Source organism: Homo sapiens, chromosome 12 (genome assembly GCF_000001405.40).
Source record: "Homo sapiens chromosome 12, GRCh38.p14 Primary Assembly".
Lineage (NCBI taxonomy): Eukaryota > Metazoa > Chordata > Mammalia > Primates > Hominidae > Homo > Homo sapiens.
The window spans coordinates 26,723,910-26,744,530 of NC_000012.12; the positions used below are offsets into that span (position 1 = coordinate 26,723,910).

Here is a 20,621-nt window from a genome sequence, read left to right on the forward strand (position 1 = left end):
TAACAGACTATGCTTCCCTATGGCTAAGAGGGCAAGAAAAAGCCTTCAAGTCAAAATTTACCAGACTTTACAACATGGTTTTTATAAACATGCCTTACCCCGATTTCAATTTATTCATCCAACCATGATTTTCCCTGTGACCAATTGCTTTATTTATTTGTATTTTATCTCACTATGTAGCTCTGTATTTTGGAAAGTGCCTTACATTCTTTTTTGAAAAAGGTGGGGCATATATTAACAAATAACCAAGTAAGAAGCTAAAAAGATCTAAGTGAAACACAGGAAAGGAATGCAGCTGAGATAAAACAGTGTGTGCATACTAATAGAAATAGAAGACCTTCTAATAACAATTCAAGGATGACTTCCAACTGAAAGTGAAAACTTTTCTCTCTTCACAAAATGAAAAGCTAAGCTCCATATGTTAAACACAGTCCCATTAATCTAAAGGACTATTTCAGAACAGGCCTTTAGAAATTGTTTCCTGACCCTCTTCTTTTTGATGTAATAACTTGTGTATACATCCAGATAAGATCACTTCTTTATGTGTAAAATCAGATTTATTCTTAAACATACAGAATAGTGCAGCACATATCAAATGAATACATCACAATACGTCACAACATCGATAATTCCCATCAAAGAACAAACTTCCTGTATCTCAAAATTTTAACGCAGTTTGGCTTTCCTGCCAACTTACTGACAAACTCCACATAAAATACTCACCTCGTTTAAGAGAAAATACTTACTTGTATAACATTACTGTATTTTACAATTTCTCCCAACAGTTTCTTATTCTCCGATTCATTTTGTTTTTGTTCCAGTTCTGCAGCGTGCTATAAGATGATTATCAAATATTCAGTGTAGAAATATAGTAAACAGAGTGTAATAACTGACAAAGAAATTTTTTTTAGGAACAAGACTATAGCCAGGAATAAAATAGGCTAGTAGTAGAGTCAGGACTGTAATCTTAGTTTAGGTGTTTTGTTTTGCTTTATGTTTCCATCATATCATATTGTCTTTCAGATTTTCACGTCATATTCATCCAAGTATTTGGAAACTTGGGGAGTGGATGACTCCCCAAAGGGAGCAGTAATTAAATAAATGATTATAATATAGTGTGATGATTTGTCAATGTATGCTGAAATGCCCTCCAACATGTCTTGGGCCACTTTTATGTTGGACATTTCAGAAAAGTACTAGGCTCTTTGTTCTTTTAAAATTACTTTAAGAAGGTATATTGCTAGAAAAACCAACCAGGATAATAGTAGAATTTCCAAAGTCTCAAAAATAAAAGTTCTTAATTCTGAAAGTACCAGGAATTTTAATGAGGCAAAATTAAGTTCTATCGAATTTACACTCAGACAAACCATAAACAATGGTCTTTCAATTATTTTTCTCCATAGTTTCTTTCAGGAAAAATATCAAGGATTATGTCAAGTAAAATATAACTGGATTTAATATTCTTACAGAGATTCTGAATTGGTTTTCATTTTGATGGGAAGCTTTGAATTAGTCTGGCACACCCTAAAAAACAGCAGCAGTAATGTGCTACCTACATGCCAGGAAATAGATGGTCACACCCTATTACTTGAAAAGCCCTTCTACTTTCAATGTGTTGCTATATGTATTCTAAATCTCTGTGTTTTGGGTGAAAGGACAAAGCTAGAAAGCTCTAAATACATTTTTATTATTGCTGTACTTGGTTAGCCTAAGCCAGACAATTGGAATCCTGGTCCTTACCTGTAGTTTCTTCAGCAAGGCTGCCTCGGTGTGGTTCCCTTGTTTGGCTTGCTTTGCTTTCCAATATTGCTTCTGGGCAGAATATCTGTTCATAGGGCACACCTTGAAAAGGCAGTCTGTGACAAACCAACATACAAAAACACTGTAACTAAGGCTACTAGCATTTCTTAGATTTCCCTTATAGCTCAGCTTTTGAATCTTGGAATCCCTGATTATACAGAACAGTTAAAAGTCATATAGTCCGTCCTCCAGCCAACTCTCCATTCACTCTATAACATCCTTTTCAAATAATTATCTAGACTCAGTTAAAATATCCACTTCTTCATTAATTTAAGTTTTTTAAAGACTACGATAGCCAGTGTATAAAGAAATCAAACCCATGTAATTGTGGTATTATAAGGCATGGATTAATTATAATGGGGCACCTGGTCTTAGAAAGCAAATAGAATGAGATTAGTGACTTTCACTGCCTTATCTGACTTTGCACAATTAATACACATTGGTGCTGTGTATATTTGACAGCCAAAGTGATCCAGGAAGTAGATCCCAGCTGACCATTAGAGTCATCCACTCCCCAAGTTTCCAAATACCTGGGTGAATATGATGTGAAAATCTGAAAGACAATATGATATGATGGAAACATAAAGCAAAACAAAACACCTAAACCAAGATTACAGTCCTGACTCTATTGCTAAACATCAAGATAGAAAATCATAGAGGAATATTATAGTTGTGATATCTCTAAGTCAAGAAGCAAAATATACGTTTTATTTTCAATGAGGAGAATGGAAGAACTCAACAGTTTCGCCACATGCTAATGATTTTGTATGCTTGTGGAATAGATTACAATCTAGAATAAAGGTAAATTCTCAGTATTCTATCATAAAAGAGTAGTAATACAGAAAATTCAAACCTTATTTTCATTTTTCTCATAAAAAACTGTGAGTTCAACATAACAAATTTACTTTATTTTGACTGATGTGTTGATATTTAGAGTCATTCTCATTCGACAAATAACTATCACAAAAATAAAATTCAGTCAACTCAAATATCCACTTTAGCCACATTATTGACTACATTATATAATATGCTTGTTCCACTATTTTCCTTAAAATTAATTGTATTTAAAAAGATGATACCTTTTCAAATATCACTTTTTCATGGTTCTAATGGCATAAATGATCAAGAAATATGGCTGTAAAATTTGTAAGGAATGTAGGAAAAACAAGACAATGATGATTTTTTTCTATAAGAACACATATTCCCCATGTGATTGCCCCACCCCCCATATACAGACAAGGTAATAGTAAACTAATCTTAATTTCTAGTTTAAAGGGTACTGATATGGATAAGTAAATATCTCATAGGTAGTAGAAAACAGATACCTTCAAACTGCTAAAAGTAGGCTTAGAGGCCACCACAATTACAGTATGATACAGGAATCAACACCTAGCACGTGTGTGACCAAAGACGGACAGCCTGGAAAATGTTTTCCTTGGCAGTGTATCATACTAGCCCTAAAAGTTATTTCCTGTATCTTAGCAACTACAAAGAGAATTTTACAAATTTCTTGAAGCACAAATCCACAAGTTGTTTACAGATATTTCCATAAGAGTGCTCCCAATTTAATACAGCAGACTCTTTTGACTATCCTATATTAGGCAAGTGGCAAAACTCTATACTGTCTGCACTCAGCAAAAGCACAAATCCATGATCAAGGGGAACTGAACTCCATAATCTGGAATTTATGCTTCTGACTTTCTTCATGTATAAAAAGGAAAGAGAAAAAATTGTGTTTCTCTTCATTATTACAGATTCCTAATTAAGGTCAATTGGAAATGATCCTTTAACAGAAAAAATATTTTTGTAAATCCCAGACCACCTCAACAGCACTCCTAATTAGCGATATCTTTGGGGAGTCAGCAAACTGGCTGTCAGGCCAAATGCTCCTGAGTGGTGGCTGAGGTCACTGTGAAGTGAAGCCAAACTTTCAGCCAAACTGTGTTTACTGTAATCCCCCTACAGGGGGTCATGCCCTGCACGAACAGGGGTTAAGCCTCAGACCCTGTCCTCAGAAAGCTCACGGTCTACTTGAAGCTTCACAAGGGAGCTCTGGAGGAGATGCTAAGAGCCACAACGATGCACGTGGCCAATTTCACAGGCAACGGAGGTCAGAAAAGACTTCCCCACGGAGAAGAAAGGAGAAAACACAGCCAAATTTTAAAGAACCAATACTCATTCAGCACAGGGGCAAGAGGGCTCCCATGCTAAGGGGAGGGGCGTTCCAAACAGAGCCACTGGCTGGTATGAAGGCAGCGAAGAATGCTAAGGGACCCCTAACCATTCAGGAAAACCACCACTGAAGCGGCAAGATAAAAATGGAATGGTAGGCTGAGGTCAAGATCTACAGTGTTATGTTCTAGGCTAAGGAGGATGGACTATACCCCATGGAAAACGCTGAACTCTTACAGACTTTTAAGCTCTTAGGGCATGTGAAAGATGGCATGAGCAAGGGGCAGGAAGGCCATCCCCGAAACCCGCTGCTGTTGTGAAAAGACAGTAGGGATGGAACTGGGGCCCTACGGTAGTTTTGGGTAGCCGTAGATGTAAAATAAAGCAGCCAAACCAGAGGCTTAATAATCGACTAGATGTGGGGGCGGGAAAAGGTCAAGGAGGGGTAAGTGAAAATAGCCAAATGAACAAGCTTCCACCCACTCTATCTGAAGTACAAAGTCTTGGGTTTCAAAAGCCCTTTCCATTTCAGGGCCTTAGTTTTACAGTCCCTTTCAGCAGCCTCCCACAGGGGACATCTCATTTTATATTACAGTAAATAATTGATCTGTTTCTGCATGGGAACTAATCTTGCAGGACTGTTCTGGATAATAGGAGAGAAGGTGGGGCACACACAGACTTCTGTTAAAAAGCTTTCATTGGTGGCAGTAGGGTGTGTGCATGCTTAATTCTCTCTCTGCCTCCTTTAGAACACATTTTTAAAAATCTACTGTTCTTGGGCTGGTCACACATTTTGTCGGATTCTAAATTTACTGCATAATAAAAGTGCTAATACCTGCCACACCTAATTCACAGGGTTGCTGAGATGAGCAAAAAGAAAATCTGTGTGAAAGTTCTTTGTGAACTTTAAAGTCCTATTATGAATGTAAGGCATTATTATTGATATTGCTTCATTCTTTCAGCAATAGCCTCACTAAGATGAAGAGATGACTAAATCCTTACAGAGCTCTCAGCAAAGAGTAATGAAAAGTAGTTTAAGTTCCTTACACATGCTGGATATTAGACCTTTGTTGGATGCATAGTTTGCAAAAATTTTCTCCCATTCTGTAGGTTGTCTGTTTACTTTGTTGACAGCTTCTTTTGCTGTGCAGAAGCTCTTCAGTTTAATTAGATCCCAGTTGTCAATTTTTGCTTTTGTTGCAATTGCTTTTGGAACTTAAACAAATTTACAAGTAAAAAATAAACAACCCCATTAAAAAGTGGGCAAAGGACATGAACAGACACTTTTCAAAAGAAAACATACATGCGGCCAACAATCACATGAAAAAAAAGCTCAGCATCACTGATCATTAGAGAAATGCAAATCAAAACCACAATGAGATACTATCTCACATCAGTCAGAATGGCTACTACTAAAGAGTCAAAAATAACAGATGCTAGTGAGGTTATGAAGAAAAATTAACACTTCTACACTGTTGGTGGGAGTGTAAAATAGTCCAGTCATTGTGGAAGACAATTTCTCAAAGGCCAAAAGACAGAAATACCATCAGACCCAGCAATTTCATTACTGGGTATATGCCCAAAGGAATATAAATCATTCTGTTATGAAGACACATGCACACATACATTCACTGCAGCACCATTCACAATAGCAAAGACATGGAATCAACCTAAATGCCCATCAATCATAGACTGGATAAAGAAAACATGGTACATATACACCATGGAATACTATGCAGCCATAAAAGAATGAGATCATGTCTTTTGCAAGGACATGAATGGAGCTGGAGGCCATTATCCCTAGCAAGCTAGTGCAGGAACAGAAAATCAAATAAGTTATATTTAGCTCCCACTTATAAGTGGGAGCTAAAAGATGAGAACACATGGACACATAGAGGGGAACAACACACACTGGAGCCTTTTGGAGGATGGAGGATGAGAGGAGGGAGAGGATCAAGAAAAATAACTAATGAGTACAAGGCTTAAACTTGGGTGATGAAATAATCTGTACAACAAACCCCCATGACACAAGTTTACCTATGGAACAAAACTGCACTTGTAACCCTGAAGTTAAAATAAAAGTTTTTTAAAAAGGGGAGAGAGAGAAGTTAGGCATGCAACTGGGAAGCTGAAATAAACCAAAAAAAGAAAGAAAAAGAAAAGAAAAGTTCTCAGATGAAACCTGAAGACACACCAAGAGTGCCCAGTTAATGACAAGGTGTCCACCCCTTTGGTTTAAGATGCCACGATGTGTCTTTGTATACACTTCTCAAATTCCTTGGAACAAAATGACAGTAAGAAGAGGATTAGATCTTCATTACCATGTAATATCTTTTTAGAAATGCAGACGCCATCACTAACATCAGTAAGGGCAAAACCTTTGACAAGCCTACTTTTTTTCAGTGTGCAGGATTACAGCTATTTCAGAGCAACCCGGTCTCACCTGCCCTCCTCATCCTGCTTCTAAACTCTCTAGTATTCCTTGATCTGTAGAGGTGTAATACTGTTAAGAAAAATGTTTTATGGAGTTCAATCAGAAATTGACTCAGCGTCATTTTTTAATTCTAACAACAATCTCTTCAACATTTCAAGACTCAAGGAATAAAAAAAGGAAAGGTTTATCTCATAGAGCGAGCATCAACAGCACAAATAAAAGGAAGTTATTTTTGTTTAATTTTTTTAAAAGCTTAACCTTAAGACCTGAAGCCAACAATTTGCAGAATTACAGAAGTTCAGGAAATGTTAGTAATCCAACCAGACATATGTTCAGTCAGACAATATTATAAGAACAATGGCTTAGAATTACAACTTTTATTTATTTATTTTTTGAACAGTTATGGAAGGAAATTAAGCCACTCAGAAGTGTTCATTTTAAACTGATAGCATTGGTGGCATTTTAGCCTGCTTACTTACAAATGCTAGCAGAGGGAAGAAATACGAAAGCCACTCAAATGGTATGGAGCACGTAACCCACAGCACGTTAACACTGTAAGTCAAAGAGCCAACCTTCACACATGAGTCCATGGAAATCTGGCAGGAAATCAGTCTAAACCTCCACTTACAATAGCTGTATAAATAGTTTTGAAATGTTTTGCTTTGAACCTGTGGAGGTACTTTCTACAATATTTGTATCAGGAGGCCACTCCTGAACCCCAGAAACTGACTTTAGGACTCTATTTAGGGCTATCATATGTAAAGTTCAAGCTATGTCTTGGCCAGCAGTATCCTTTGGCAATGGTGGAAAAAAAAAATTGGTTTTTAATTTCTCCTTCCTCCTAAAGATGTCTTAAGATTTAAATGAGGCAAGTGCCTGTCACAAGGCAGGCATTCAACAAATGGCTCTTTCACGGTAGCCTGTAAAAAACACCTCATAACCATAGGGAACATGGTTACCAAGGGCTTTATTCTCCCTACGTGGAGAAAGGTGGGGAGGGAAAGCCTCGGGGACTTTTGTTTCTCTCTTTATGACACAAAGTGGATCCAGAAGAGTTCAATGAAGACAATGGTCTCTGAAACAGAAGAGCAAGCTAGAACCTTCCCAATGATAAAATGGAAAGTGGTTAAAAAAGAAACTCTCCTTAGGATAAGGGGCAGGCAGACAAGGGGCCATTAGCCACTAGAAATTAGAATTCAGGTCAGACACAGTGGCTCATGCCTATAATCCCAGCACTCTGGGAGGCTGATAAAGGGGGATTGCTTGAAGCCAAGAGTTCAAGGCCAGCCTGGGCAACAAATTGAGACCCTGTCTCTACGAAAAAATTTTTTTAAAAAATCAGCTGGGGGCAGTGGACTACAAGTCCGAGCTACTCAGGAGGCTGAGACAAGAGGATCACTTGAGCCTAGGAGTTCAAGGCTGCAATGAGCTATGATCACACCACTGCACTCCAGCCTGGAGGACAAAGCAAGACCTTGTCTCTTACAAAATACAAATTTTAAAAAATTAAATATAATAGAATTCAGAGTTGATGCAGGGAGAGGAATGCATTCATTAGCTGAAAATACAACTCTAGGTTGTTTTCGTTTTTCAGTTTCCCTAAGAAATGCATCCTGAAATACAGTGTTTGTATAAAACTCTTTATTTTTAGAAGTTTTAAAAAGGAATGTGTTTTAAGAACACAAATTTCAAACCAAACATCTATCCCCCCACCTGCCTTGCCTAAGGCAACTGTAAAGAGAGGATCTAAGAGGGAAAGTGTCCTCTAGAATGCTATGAAGGCTCAGGGAAATGTATTGCATGTGTTAGCAAACATGAAAATTAATCACAACACATGGGTTAGCAACCACAAAGATCGCAATGTAACTTCCTCTAGCTGAAAGTCAATTATTATACTACGAAAGAGGAAGAGAAATAGCATTTTGTCATTACAGGCTTGTAGACTGATAAAATGTTAGCACTCAAAGAAGCCTCAGATAAAATCCAATCTTTCCCTTCCTTGAAGCAAAGAAGCAAAAACTCAAAAAGTGAATTCCCTAGATCCTTCAGGATAGTATTTCCAGATTAGAATATTATAAATATGAAGAAGTTCAACCACACATAGGATGCTTGAATGCCCTGACAAGTGACTGCCTGACCTCTTAGTGGTAGGGACACCAATGCCACACTTGGTTTGTTCAATACAGTTTACTACCATGGAGCGCTTTGTAAACTATAAACAGCACTACACATTGATAATAAAGATCACTGGATCTTCACAAGACTCTCAAGAGTTAGCCAGGGTTATTTTCTCCATGTTACAGAGAAGGAAACTGAGACTTTTCTTCATGAGGAATTGAGATGAAATATGAACCAAGATCCTCTGAACCCTACGTAGTGTACTGTAGCCATGCAGAGATGCCACTGGGAGCAGGTTGTCATGTTGAGGCATAATCTGTCTCTGTTTAAATGCTGTTCGTAATTCTACATGTACCTCAAGGCCATTTAGAACAAATCTAATCTGGCTTCTACTTAACAGCCCTAAATATCCTCAGACAGCATCCTTCTGACTTCTCCACCCCAACTTTGATTTGATCATCGTGGCAAGATCTCCTCAAAAAGTTATCATTTTTATTACCAAATACTAACTGCCTCTTTCCCATAATAGATGTGATTTTAGTCAATTAAAGACTGAATTGTTAAAGCATCTATTAATGTATTTAGCAAATACAGATGGTAAGAAAACCACTGGCCAGGCCAGGCACGGTGGCTCATGCCTGTAATCCCAGCACTTTGGGAGGCTGGGGTCAGGAGTTCAAGACCAGCCTGGCCAACATGGCAAAACCCCATCTCTACTAAAAATACAAAAATTAGCCAGGCGCAGTGGCGTGTGCCTGTAATCCCAGCCACTCAAGAGGCTGAGGCAGCAGAATCGTTTGAAACCAGGAAGCAGAGGTTGCAGTGAGCCAAGATCATGCCACTGCACTCCAGCCTAGGTGACAGAGCAAGACTCCATCTCAAAAAAAAAAAAAAAAGAAAAGAAAAGAAAAGAAAAAAGAAAACCACTGGCCAGAAAGTGAAATATGCATATGCCTCAGTTCTCATCCCTACCACAGTCTTGCAACACAACACAACCTCTAGAAAAATATTATCAAGATACATATACATATGTGCCACAGTTATAATACTTAAAAAGAAACTAATGAGTGGTTTTCAATGGGAAATATACTATGTGTATATATAATTAAATGCTAAAACATAAATAAAAATATTATGAAATCTTAGTCTCAAAGAGATTAATTGCCTGATTCATACACTAATAGGTAAACACTCAAGAACAAATGAAGCTTTATCCTTTGCCTAATTTGGAGTGGGGAGGAAAAGTAAAATTCAAATGCATTAATGCTAATTTGTATTCTTGTCAAGGTTTGAATTTCAGCATTGATTGAGCAAGCCACTACACTAGATGTAAGTGAAATCTGCTACCAGAAAAATCATAATGTATAATTTTTCAATCATTTTTCCCATTCTCAATGTGCCATGTTAACACTGATAATAAAAAAAATGTAATAAGCTGACTGATTCAGAAATCAAAATGCAAGCCTCCAAATTTCATTACATAAGTGTCAGATTTGAAAAAGGAAGTGATTTTTTACATATATTTATGTTTCTACACACATACATGCAGACAAGATACACACATATATAATATGTATAGATGCATAATATATTTTATGTATATTTACATATGAGTATGTACTTCCATAGCGTCTCCTTTTACATCAGGTCTTGTCACATACATTATCTCATTTAATTCTTTCACAAATGCTTTGAAGTATTAGTTCTATAAATGAGGAAAGAGAAACTCAGAATGTTTTAGAGCTCTAACCTAAAATTTCAAAAATTGTTTTTAAATTTAGTCCAGATCAACCTGCCTCCAAAGCCCATCTTCATAATTCAATAGAAGATGCTCTATATTCATGAAATTAAAACTTTAACAAATACATTGAGGTACATTCACTGAAATTAAAACACATAATGTGACAGTCCACGTTCTCTGGTTTCAAATTCCCAGATTCCTTGCTGAAATTATCCTACAAGGGCCCAAAAATGTGTTAAAAGAGACAATCCAAACACCTGTAACTATCAATACGACAGAAGAGCACAGTAGCAAGCCAGAGAAGTTCACGGCTTCAAGCCCTCCACTCAGAAAGCAATAATTTTCTAATAGGTGAACAATTAAACTATTAATACAGGTAAATTAACTTTATAGAGGTAAGCTTGCCTTTTTAAACCAATTTGAGCATGACTGTAACAACTCCTGTCCTAAATTAAAAAAAAAAAAAAGTCTAACACAGGGTATTTTATGCCAAGTCACAGTTATGTAATAGCAATATTTAGAGTAAAGAACTGCTTGCTGTTCATTGTCCTGGTACTGAATTAATTGCTGTTCTCATATGGGTGACCTAAAACAAAATCAGTTTGTTATGCTAGTTCCTCCGTAAGCAGAGATTTATTCATAATAACAAAAAGATCATGGAGTCTTATTCATCATTATTATTACATATTTATACTCCAATAAGACTAGCTTTCTTTTGATTATTATTACTACCAAAAAGCATCTACAGATAATTTAGGAGTCAATGGACAACTCCAGAGCAAAGTTTAACAAACTGTAATTGTGTAATTGTGCAAGCCAGTCTTTTTTTTTTTTTTTTTTTTTGAGATGGAGTTTCGCTCTTGTTGACCAAGCCAGAGTGCAATGGCACGATCTCGGCTCACCACAACCTCCGCCTCCTGGGTTCAAACGATTCTCCTGTCTCAGCCTCCTGAGAAGCTGGGATTACAGGCATGCATCACCACACCCAGCTAATTTTTTGTATCTTTAGTAGAAACGGGGTTTCACCATGTTAGCCAGGCTGGTCTCGAACTCCTGACCTCAGGTTATCTGCCTGCCTTGGCCTCCCAAAGTGCTGGGATTACAGACGTGAGGTACTGTGCCTGGCCTAGCCAGGCTTGAAATCAAATTATTTGGTCTCAACCAGCCTTCTGAATGGAATGAAATTGAATTGAATGGAACAGGAAGAGAAAGGGAAAGGGAAAGAGAAGGGAAGGACAAGGGAAACAAAATGGGAAGGAAAAGAGTAAGGGAAGGGGAAGGGTAGGGAAGAGGACAGGGAAGGAGAAGAGAGGAGAGGGAGAGGGGGAAGGGAGAAGAAGAGGAGGGAAGAAGAGGACATTGCAAAGTAGCAAGTATTCTTTCAAGAAACTTCTGTTTCTGGTCATGTGTGGGTTTGTGCATGTGCACACACACATATGCACATGTGGGATTACAATGTATAATGTATTTCTTACTGAGAGTTGCAACTAAAAGTATTCAAAAGCCATACTTCTGGAAGTCTGCACATGTGTACAGGTTAGGGTTAAATGAACTTCAAATTTATATAAACATATCCTGTGGTCAAGAGGAAAGGAAACTGAGACCAGGAAACTTTCCTTTGCTCTATGAATGACTTCTGAAATACATAAAAACTATATTTTTAAATTAACTGCCCTGTCAAATTTGTATATAGACCATTACAATGGAATGGGAAGATGCCCTTTTAAAAATGTCTTCCTCTTTTTAGCCCCACGCTGGTTGGCCTCTACCTTTACTATAGCACCCATCTATCAGATAGTGCTTCCTATTAGATAACATGTTTACATGTAACTCTATATTCAGCCCCTATTAGCTACTATAAGGAAGATGCTCAAAATCTGTTTGCAAAAGAAAGTTCCTGCCAAGTTACCTGAGAAACAATCATTAGATATCTATTCTTTCTGCTCTGAAGGGTTTTACCATCTTTTTTGCGGGGTGGGGGGAGGTCTCCTATCAAAATACAAACACCTGAGAAGGGAATACCCTAAGATCTTGGTTCTCAGTTGACTCCTGCTGCCTGAGAGGTCCATGAGGGTGAAGTGATTGGTACTGAGCATCTGGGAAAGGCACCTTTTAGCTTACCAACGACTGGGAAAAATACACAGGAAAGTTGTTGATCAAATTTGCAGATGATGCAGAGTGAAGAGGAGTAGCTAATTAGGCAGATTAAAATCTAGATTTTTTTTAAATCCAAACATCAATGCAATTAACTTTATACAAACATAAATATAAGGTCAGAAAAAAGTCAACTACTTTGGTACATGATAGAGAGGAGCACCAAGGCTATTAGCAATTAGTATTTTAAAAACTGAAAATTGCCTAGACCTTAGGCTTGAGTTCAACTTAACATAATTAGAATGCCCTATAGCCCTGTGTGCCCAGGACAATTCTGGTTTATGCCTGTTGCCTGAGCTTAATTATTAGCCACGTCCCCCTTTCACTCTCAAGAATGTCCTGGTTTGGGTGATAAGTATATTATCACTCCAAATATAAATAAGTGAATACTGTGCTGAACCGGCGGAAAAGCTGATGCCGCCATTTTAGGCTGATTCATATTAGACTGATTCCTCAAACAGAGGAAGAAGGAACACATCCATGTTGGGTCCAGTTCTATAGATGGCACATTTTAAGCAGCATCCTAACAAATTAGCCAGTATCCAAAGTTCAGCAAGGGGGAAAGCAAGCAAAATACACAAGTCTTGTTATTTGAGCAACGATAGTTCAAACTGGGAAATGTTGCCTAACAGAGAGAAAACAAAGAGTTGGCATAATCCCACTTTGTGTAGCTAAACTTCTACATGTAAACGAGGGAGGAAAGTTTTTCCCTATATTGATCCAGGATCAAAGAAAATTTCAGTTCCATGCAAGGGGAAACTCGCCAGCAATTGGAAAAAATCCAAAAAATACAAATTACTCAGAGGCAAGTAAACTTGTACTCATCATGTTGAGGCAGAGGCAGATGCAGTGCAGCAGGAATCTTGCCTTGGGGAGGTCTTTCCCAAATACTACCTTCTATTTTTCTTTTTTTTTTCCTTTTCGTTTCTTTCTTTCTTTCTTTTTTTTAATACGGAGCCTCGCTCTGTCACCCAGGCTGGAGAACGGCGCTATCTCAGCTCACTGCAACCTCCACCTTCCAGGTTCAAGCGATTCTCCTGTCTCAGCCTCCTGAGTAGCTGGGATTACAGGCACGCCCTACGACGCCCAGCTAATTTTTGTATTTTTAGTAGAGATGGGTTTCACCATGTTGGACAGGCTGGTCTCAAACTCCTGACCTCGTGATCTGCCCACCTCGGCCTCCTAAAGTTCTGGGATTACAGGCATAAGCCACCGCACCTGGCCTACCTTCTATTTTTCAATGGAAACTGTGGTGGAGGTGACTGGCAAAAAGGGAAGGAGTTCATGTTGTGCATTTACATAAAAAGCTCAGACACCTCACCTGCTTCAGCTGTATTTATCAAACTGTGGTTGGTTTGGCATCTCGGTATTACAGAAACCGGAAATTTCAGCACCCGGACCCCATAAGTCTTCTACTACTAAATATCTGTCAGTGCTACATCAAAATGCTCAAAGTTAAAGCACTATGTAAATATGTATTATTATTACTTCCAACTTTACATTCCACATGAACAAATACAGTTGTGTTTATATTTTGCAGTATCGGAAGCATGATGCTCGCTGTGGTATTTTGTCACTTAAGTTTTTAGTTTGGTAAGATACTCCCAGATTAAAATAAGATTAACAGAGAGTCAAAGGTAGAAGGAATAATAACAAAGAAACACGCTTTCCCCACAACACACACACACACGCACACACATACACTACACAAATAGCAGCTATAATACTTAATGACTGAGCACTCTATGCCAAGTACAATGATAGAAGCTTTACACAGATTCTTTAATCTCTGTAGAAAACTTTGAGACCAGTATTACTATTGTTCCCATGTTACAGATCATGAAACTGGAAATTTTAAAGGTTAGGTTCTGCCCAGGGTCACAGAGGTAGGATTCAAACCCAAACAACTAACTTCAGAGTCTGTTCTTTTATACACTAAAGATAGAAAGGACATAACCCAGCTATTTTGTATGTTTGGAAAGTAGAACAGTAAAATATTAAAGAATTGGGATGTGGGAGGAAAGGTAGGACTTCCAGAAAGTGGACATGAGAAGTGGGGAACAGAGAGATGAGGTAACAGAGTAGAGAGGAGACAACATGGTGGACAGGCCATGGGAAATGAAAGCAATGGTGGTGGTGTGTTCTTCTCTTGGCATTTTTTTGTCTCCTCCTTTCCTACCTATTCTTTTATTCTCCATAACTGTAAATTTGTTTGTTGTTCTCTTCCTCTATTTTTTAGCTTCTCTCTCTCATTACATCTCTTTTTGTCGGTTTTTGAGAAGGGGGTTGTTTTTGTTTTTTCTTTTTACCAACAAGAATGAGCTTGGGTCTCTTTGTAGTTTTATCTCCTTCTCTTTCCCTAATTATTTTCTTCCTTTTACAGTCTCTTATTTCACTCTCTCTCCAATATTTCCTTTATCAATTCCCCAAACTTTTTCTTTTCTTTCTCTTCCTTACATGATTATAAAATTATTCTTTAAAAATGTATCATGTCCTTTGGATAAGATTAGGTCTTTTCTATTTCAAATAAAAATTTAGATGAGTTGAACATTTTCTTATCAAAACTCAACCTGAAAGTAAGTTGCAAAAGCAAGCACATTTCTAACAGAGGACTTGGATCCAGAATACAGAAAGTGCTTTTACAACTCAATAAAAGAAGACATACAATCCAATAAGATTTAAACAGATGTTTCACAAAAAAGGGAAGGCTAACAAGTACATAAAAATACACTCAATACCACTGGTCATTAGAGAAATGCAAACTATGACCATAATTAGATACCACTACAAAACCACTAGAATGGCTACAATTAAAAAGAATGACAATGTCATGTGTTATGAGGATGTGGAGCAACTGGAATGCTCATACACTGATGGTATGAACACAAATGGTTCCCTACTTTGGAGAACATTTTGGTAGTTTCTTGAAAAGTTAAAAGATACTTATTATATGATCCAGTAATCCCATTCCAAGATGTCTACCCAAGAGAATTAGAACATATGTCCACACAAAGCATTGTATGCAAATGTCCACCTACATTATTCACAGTTTCCCAAAAATGGGGGAAAACAAACCAAATGTCCAACTCCAAATGTAGTGGTATATCCATACAATAGAATACTACTACCAAAAACAAAAGAACAAATACTGACACATGCAGTACTGATCCTGAACATGGATGAATCTCAAACACATCTTACTAAGTGAAAGAAGCCAGACACAAAAGACTACACACCACATGAGGCCATTTATATGAATTCTAGAAAAGGCAAAACTATAGCATCCAAAAGAAGGTCAGGGGTTACCTGGAAGTGGGGTGGAAGCAAGGATTGACTGCAAAAGGACAAAAAAGAACTTTTTGAGATGATGTAAGTGATTTAAGTATTGGCTGCACAACTGTATATATTTAACAAAACTCATTAAGCTGAATATTTAAAAGGAGTAAATTTTATGGTATATAAGTTACTATTCAATCAAGTTGAAAATAAAATTACTACAGTTGTATATAGTCCTCAATTGTTCACTTTTCTATGGATCAATTGTTTCTCATAAATATTTTTAAGAAAAAAGATAAACTTTAAAGACATAATAAGGATTTGTTTTATTAATAGTTGTTGTGGTTTGGTTTGCTTGGCATGTGGGAAGAGGAACACTGGGTTGACTTGTTTGCTAAATCACAGGATCTAGCTTGACTTCCCCGCACACGGCAGCTCTCAAAATCATTTGGTGATTGACTGATAAGGCACACCCAGGGGTACAGCAGGTACATCTAATTAAATCTAGTGAGATAAATTTTTCTTAACACAGCACACAATAAAATTAAGATTTAATCCACAATTTAATTTCAATTTGAAGAAAAGAATAGCCTGGAATATCCTGTCATACCTGAAAGTGAGGAAGAGACTATTGAGTCATGCCAAAAATACTTGAGGGTCCCAACGAACAAAATTGAGACTACTGAGCATTGAGATGAATGGCCACATTGGATTGAAACACACCAAATATGTTAAAATCCGTGAGCTCATAATTATTTTTGAAAACACATATTAGTCATCTTTGGAGGTCAGAGTACCAACTCATTATTCTAAAAACTGGAAGATAAAGGGAAATACGCTATAAAAGCAAGAAAAGAGGAAGGCAGATCAACATAAACACTGAAGGACATCTGCGATACGTCACACAGTAGAAAGAGTAAGCTTCATTCCGCCGTATAAGGTGATCCCAATGTTATAAAATTCAACAAATCTATACAATGCTTTTATAGACTTCAATAAAAACTCAAGGAAGATAAACTATTTACTGTGGTTACCCCTGAGATACGGAAATGGATGTTGTGGAGGAGGAAAAAAGATTTTCACTTTGTATGTTTTATTACTTCGGTAAAAATTTTAAAGCAACAAATTTCTAGACAAAACTTTTTTGTCTTCCCAGGGGAAAAAAGTCTAATTTATTATGGACTATATGTTAAAGCCTTGTAATGATGCTGCACTGCCTACTGGATGAAGCCCAAATTTGTTCTTAGAGGGAAAAGTATCAAATAAAAGTTTCAAAAGATGTAAATAAGAAAAGCTTACTCTAATGTTGCTGTTTCTCTTTCTGTCTTTGGAGAAATGGACCAGAGAATGAGAATGGGCCACCATGATTCCACTTCTGCTACCACTGTCATCAAATTATTTTAAAAATCATTTAGAAAAGATCTATTTAATTTTCTACTTCATTTAGTCCACACCTGCTCTTTTCCGAGGAACTCTGCAATTGAGTGGCACCCAATTATTCATCCATTAAACATGTGAGACAGGAAACTCAGGCTGAGGAGAGGAGGCTCCCATTGAGGGGGAGAGCTTGGGGTGAGCACATCCCACTCTGATGCCAGCTGTCCCTGCGGCAGAGGTGGCGCCTTCCAGGCCTGGGAGGGCCCAGCTCAATGGCAGTGCCTTCATTTTAATCTCTAGTTAAGAAGTTTAACAGGAGTAGCAAAGGATATAATTAGAAACGTTCTCAACTGCTAGCAGAATTGAAAAGAATGAGGATTCCATAACAATTAAAATTACTTTTCTAAGTGCTGATAATTCTTACCTCCTTTGCCAGCTGGGTACAAGTCAGGACCTCTGTTTTAGCCAGTTTTATACACATGTTTTATAAACATGTTTTATACACATCTCTGGAAATATAGTCCTTCCATTTTACCATGTCAGTTGACACAGGGGAAGTTTTGTTTGAAAAAAAAAAGTCAAGGCATTACAAAGTAGAAAAGAAGGATTCTTAATGTGGGAACCACGAGCCTACAGCGGATGGGATTCATGGAGGTCGACAAATCCCCTGAACGTGTAAGAAAACCTGCATGTGTGTCTGTGTGTGCGTGTGTGTGTGTGCATTCACAGATTCATTTCTCTATGGGAGGACACATAGCTGTTATGAAATTCTGAGAGGGCTCTAGTCCCCTCAGAAACCCATAGTAATCACTCCTGAAAGGGAGTGTACCATTATAAATCATCTTAGGCTCTCAAGCCAGTAACTAAACGAACACAGTCAGTTGCAAGCAGGCATGAGCTAAACTCTGCTTTGTTAAACAATGGAAGAGGAAATACATTGGGAAGGAGAGGGTTCCTAAAAGATGCTTTAGAGAAGTAGAAAGAAGATAAGTCAGTCCTAAATGTGGGCCCAGGCAGGGAAGGGAGATCCCTGGACCAGGTCTACAGGAAGCACATTTCCTCTGCAAGGGAGTGCCCACACCAACAAGAACAAGCATGACAGAATGCTCTGAGAGGACAGATAAAGAAAAAGATGAATGAGCCAGCAATTCCATGGCCAGGTATTTACCAAAGAGAAATGAGTGCTTTTGCCCACCAAAAGACACACAAAGCATGTCACAGGATTCATCACAGCCCATTGATTGGATAAGCGATAAATAAATAGTGGTATGGTCACAGAATGGAATTGTAAAAAGTAACAAGAAAGAATGAACTGCTGCATGCAATAACATTAATGAATTACATAGATGTCATGTTGAACAAAGAAACAGCCACAACAGAGTATGACGGAAAACCTGTCCATGTCCACACAAAACCTAATGTTAGGAGCAGCATTATTCATAATAGTCAAAAAAGAGAAAAACCTAAATGTCCATTAACTGATAGATGGACAAACAAAATATGATATATCCACATCTTGGAATATTATCCAGCCTTAAAAAGGAATGATGTGGCCAGGTGCAGTGGCTCATACCTGTAATCCCAGCACTTTGGGAGGCTGAGGCAGATGGATCGCCTGAGGTCAGGAGTTTGAGACCAGCCTGGCCAACATGGTGAAACCCTGTCTTACTAAAAATACAAAAATTAGCCGGGAGTGGTGGCGGGTGCCTGTAATCCCAGCTACTCAGGAGGCTGAGTCAGGAGAATCCCTTGAACCCGGAAGCAGAGGTTGCAGTGAGCCGAGATCATACCACCGCACTCCAGCCTGGGTGACAGAACAAGACTCTGTCTTGGGAAAAAAAAAAAAAGGAATGATGTACTGATTCATGCTAAAACATGGACAAACTTTGAAAACATTATCTAAATGAAAGAAGCCAGTCACAAAAGGCCACATAAGGTATGGTTCCATTTACATGAAATGTTCAGAATAGGCAAATGTATACAGATGGAAAGGAGCTTCGCCAGGGCTGGGAGGAGGGGGAAATTGGGAGTGACTGCTAATGGCTGTATCTTTTGGAGGTGATGAAAAGGTTCTAGAATAGAAAGTGACAATGGTTGCACAAACTTGTGAATACACTAAAACTACTGAATTGTACACTTTAAAAGATGAATTTTATGATGTATAAATCATGTCAATAAAAACCAGTTAAAGAAATAATAGGTATAGTATGGTTTCATTTATATGAAGTTTGAAAACAGACAAAAACAATCTATGGTGTGAGGGTAAAAACAGTGGTTACCTTTGGCAGAGGAACCTCTGCAGGGCTGTAAATGTTTTATATCATGATCTAGGTGCTGCTTACATAAATATTTATATTTACATTTATTTATATATGTTTATATATACATACACACATATAAAAATTTATCAAGCTTACATTTAATACATTTGAGCTCGCACTTAAGATTTATGTGTTTTGTTGAATGTATTTCAGCAGATATTTTAGAAAAAAATATTTTTTCCATAGCATTGTGATAAGGATCAATGCATTATTAGATGTAAATCCCTAGAACCAAGTTTAGAACATATAATATGTTCAGTGAAGCAATTTTACCCTACCAGTTGCCTACATTAAAAACCTCATGTCCAGGCCAGGTGCAGTGGCTCATGCCTGTAATCCCAGCACTTTGGGAGGCCGAGGCGGGGGGATCACCTGAGGTCAGGAGTTCAAAACCAGCCTACCAACATGGAGAAACCCCGTCTCTACTAAAAATACAAAATTAGCTGGGCATGGTGGCACATGCCTGTAGTCCCAGCTACTCGGGAGGCTGAGGCAGGAGAATCACTTGAACCCGGGAGGCGGAGGTTGAGGTGAGCCGAGATTGTGCCATTGCACTCCAGCCTGGGCAACAAGAGCAAAACTCCATCTCAAAAAAACAAAACAAAACAAAACCTCATGTCCAAAACAATGACACCTCTATAGGTTCTACCTTTAAAATAGATCTAGCAACCGATTTCTTACCAACTCATCATCCTAATCTAAATCACCATAATTTCTCTCCTGGCTGCAGCAACAGTCTACTAACAAGTCTCTGCTTCTGCCCATGCCCGACTGTGGATTCTTCATGCAGCAAGCACTGTAAGCCTGTTAAACAGAAGTCAGGGCCCAACAGCCTCTGCTCAAAACCCTTCAATGCCTCCACCTTACTCAAAGCAAAAGCCAAAGGCCTCCCTGTGGCCCACAAGGCCCTATATGAGCTGCTCTCTGGTTCTGCCACTCCTAGTGACCAGCCCGACCTCCCCACCACTACCTGGCCACTCACTGGCTCCACCCCAGCCACACCATCCTACTTGCCATTACTGCAACTTATCTAGGACACTTCCACTTCAGGGACTTTGCCCTGGATGCTCTCTCCACCTCTGCCTGTTCCCCAAGATTTCTGCACAGGTAACTCTGCCCCGACTCAGGCCTCCGCTCAAGTATCAGTGAGGCCTGCCCTGGCACTGCAAACACAGCAACCCTTCCCAAGCTAGCACTCTTGGTCACCTTGCTTTATTTCTCTACATAG

General features: G+C 38.3%; 1 protein-coding gene across 8 annotated transcripts in view, besides 5 other annotated features; it reads right to left on the minus strand.

The window, feature by feature from the left end:
• The window catches only part of ITPR2 (inositol 1,4,5-trisphosphate receptor type 2), a 497,843-nt gene that overhangs the window by 388,558 nt on the left and 88,664 nt on the right, over positions 1-20,621 (minus strand). For all 8 annotated transcript variants that reach the window (XR_001748686.3, XR_001748687.2, NM_001414174.1 and 5 more), the window contains 2 exons: positions 1,741-1,856; positions 747-833 (listed from right to left, as the gene is read on the minus strand). Coding sequence is in view for 6 of the 8 variants with exons in the window: in NM_001414174.1 (NP_001401103.1) it covers positions 747-833; positions 1,741-1,856 (203 nt within the window). In the remaining 2 variants the exon portion in view is untranslated. The remainder of the gene's footprint in view (positions 1-746; positions 834-1,740; positions 1,857-20,621) is intronic.
• Positions 3,808-3,937: an enhancer, noted in NCBI's record as "active region_6124". NCBI's record gives its function as "activates an Ori minimal core promoter by ATAC-STARR-seq in GM12878 lymphoblastoid cells {active_cell/tissue: GM12878}" and the evidence as "EXISTENCE:reporter gene assay evidence [ECO:0000049][PMID:35858748]".
• Positions 3,958-4,027: an enhancer, noted in NCBI's record as "active region_6125". NCBI's record gives its function as "activates an Ori minimal core promoter by ATAC-STARR-seq in GM12878 lymphoblastoid cells {active_cell/tissue: GM12878}" and the evidence as "EXISTENCE:reporter gene assay evidence [ECO:0000049][PMID:35858748]".
• Positions 4,319-4,548: a silencer, noted in NCBI's record as "fragment chr12:26881161-26881390 (GRCh37/hg19 assembly coordinates)". NCBI's record gives its function as "represses an EF-1alpha promoter that drives an FKBP-Casp9 reporter gene in an ReSE screen in HepG2 liver carcinoma cells {active_cell/tissue: HepG2}" and the evidence as "EXISTENCE:reporter gene assay evidence [ECO:0000049][PMID:32094911]".
• Positions 8,142-8,221: a silencer, noted in NCBI's record as "silent region_4302". NCBI's record gives its function as "represses an Ori minimal core promoter by ATAC-STARR-seq in GM12878 lymphoblastoid cells {active_cell/tissue: GM12878}" and the evidence as "EXISTENCE:reporter gene assay evidence [ECO:0000049][PMID:35858748]".
• Positions 19,845-20,346: an enhancer, noted in NCBI's record as "H3K27ac hESC enhancer chr12:26896687-26897188 (GRCh37/hg19 assembly coordinates)". NCBI's record gives its function as "activates a minimal SCP1, AML or CMV promoter by ChIP-STARR-seq in primed H9 embryonic stem cells {active_cell/tissue: H9 hESC(primed)}" and the evidence as "EXISTENCE:reporter gene assay evidence [ECO:0000049][PMID:30033119]".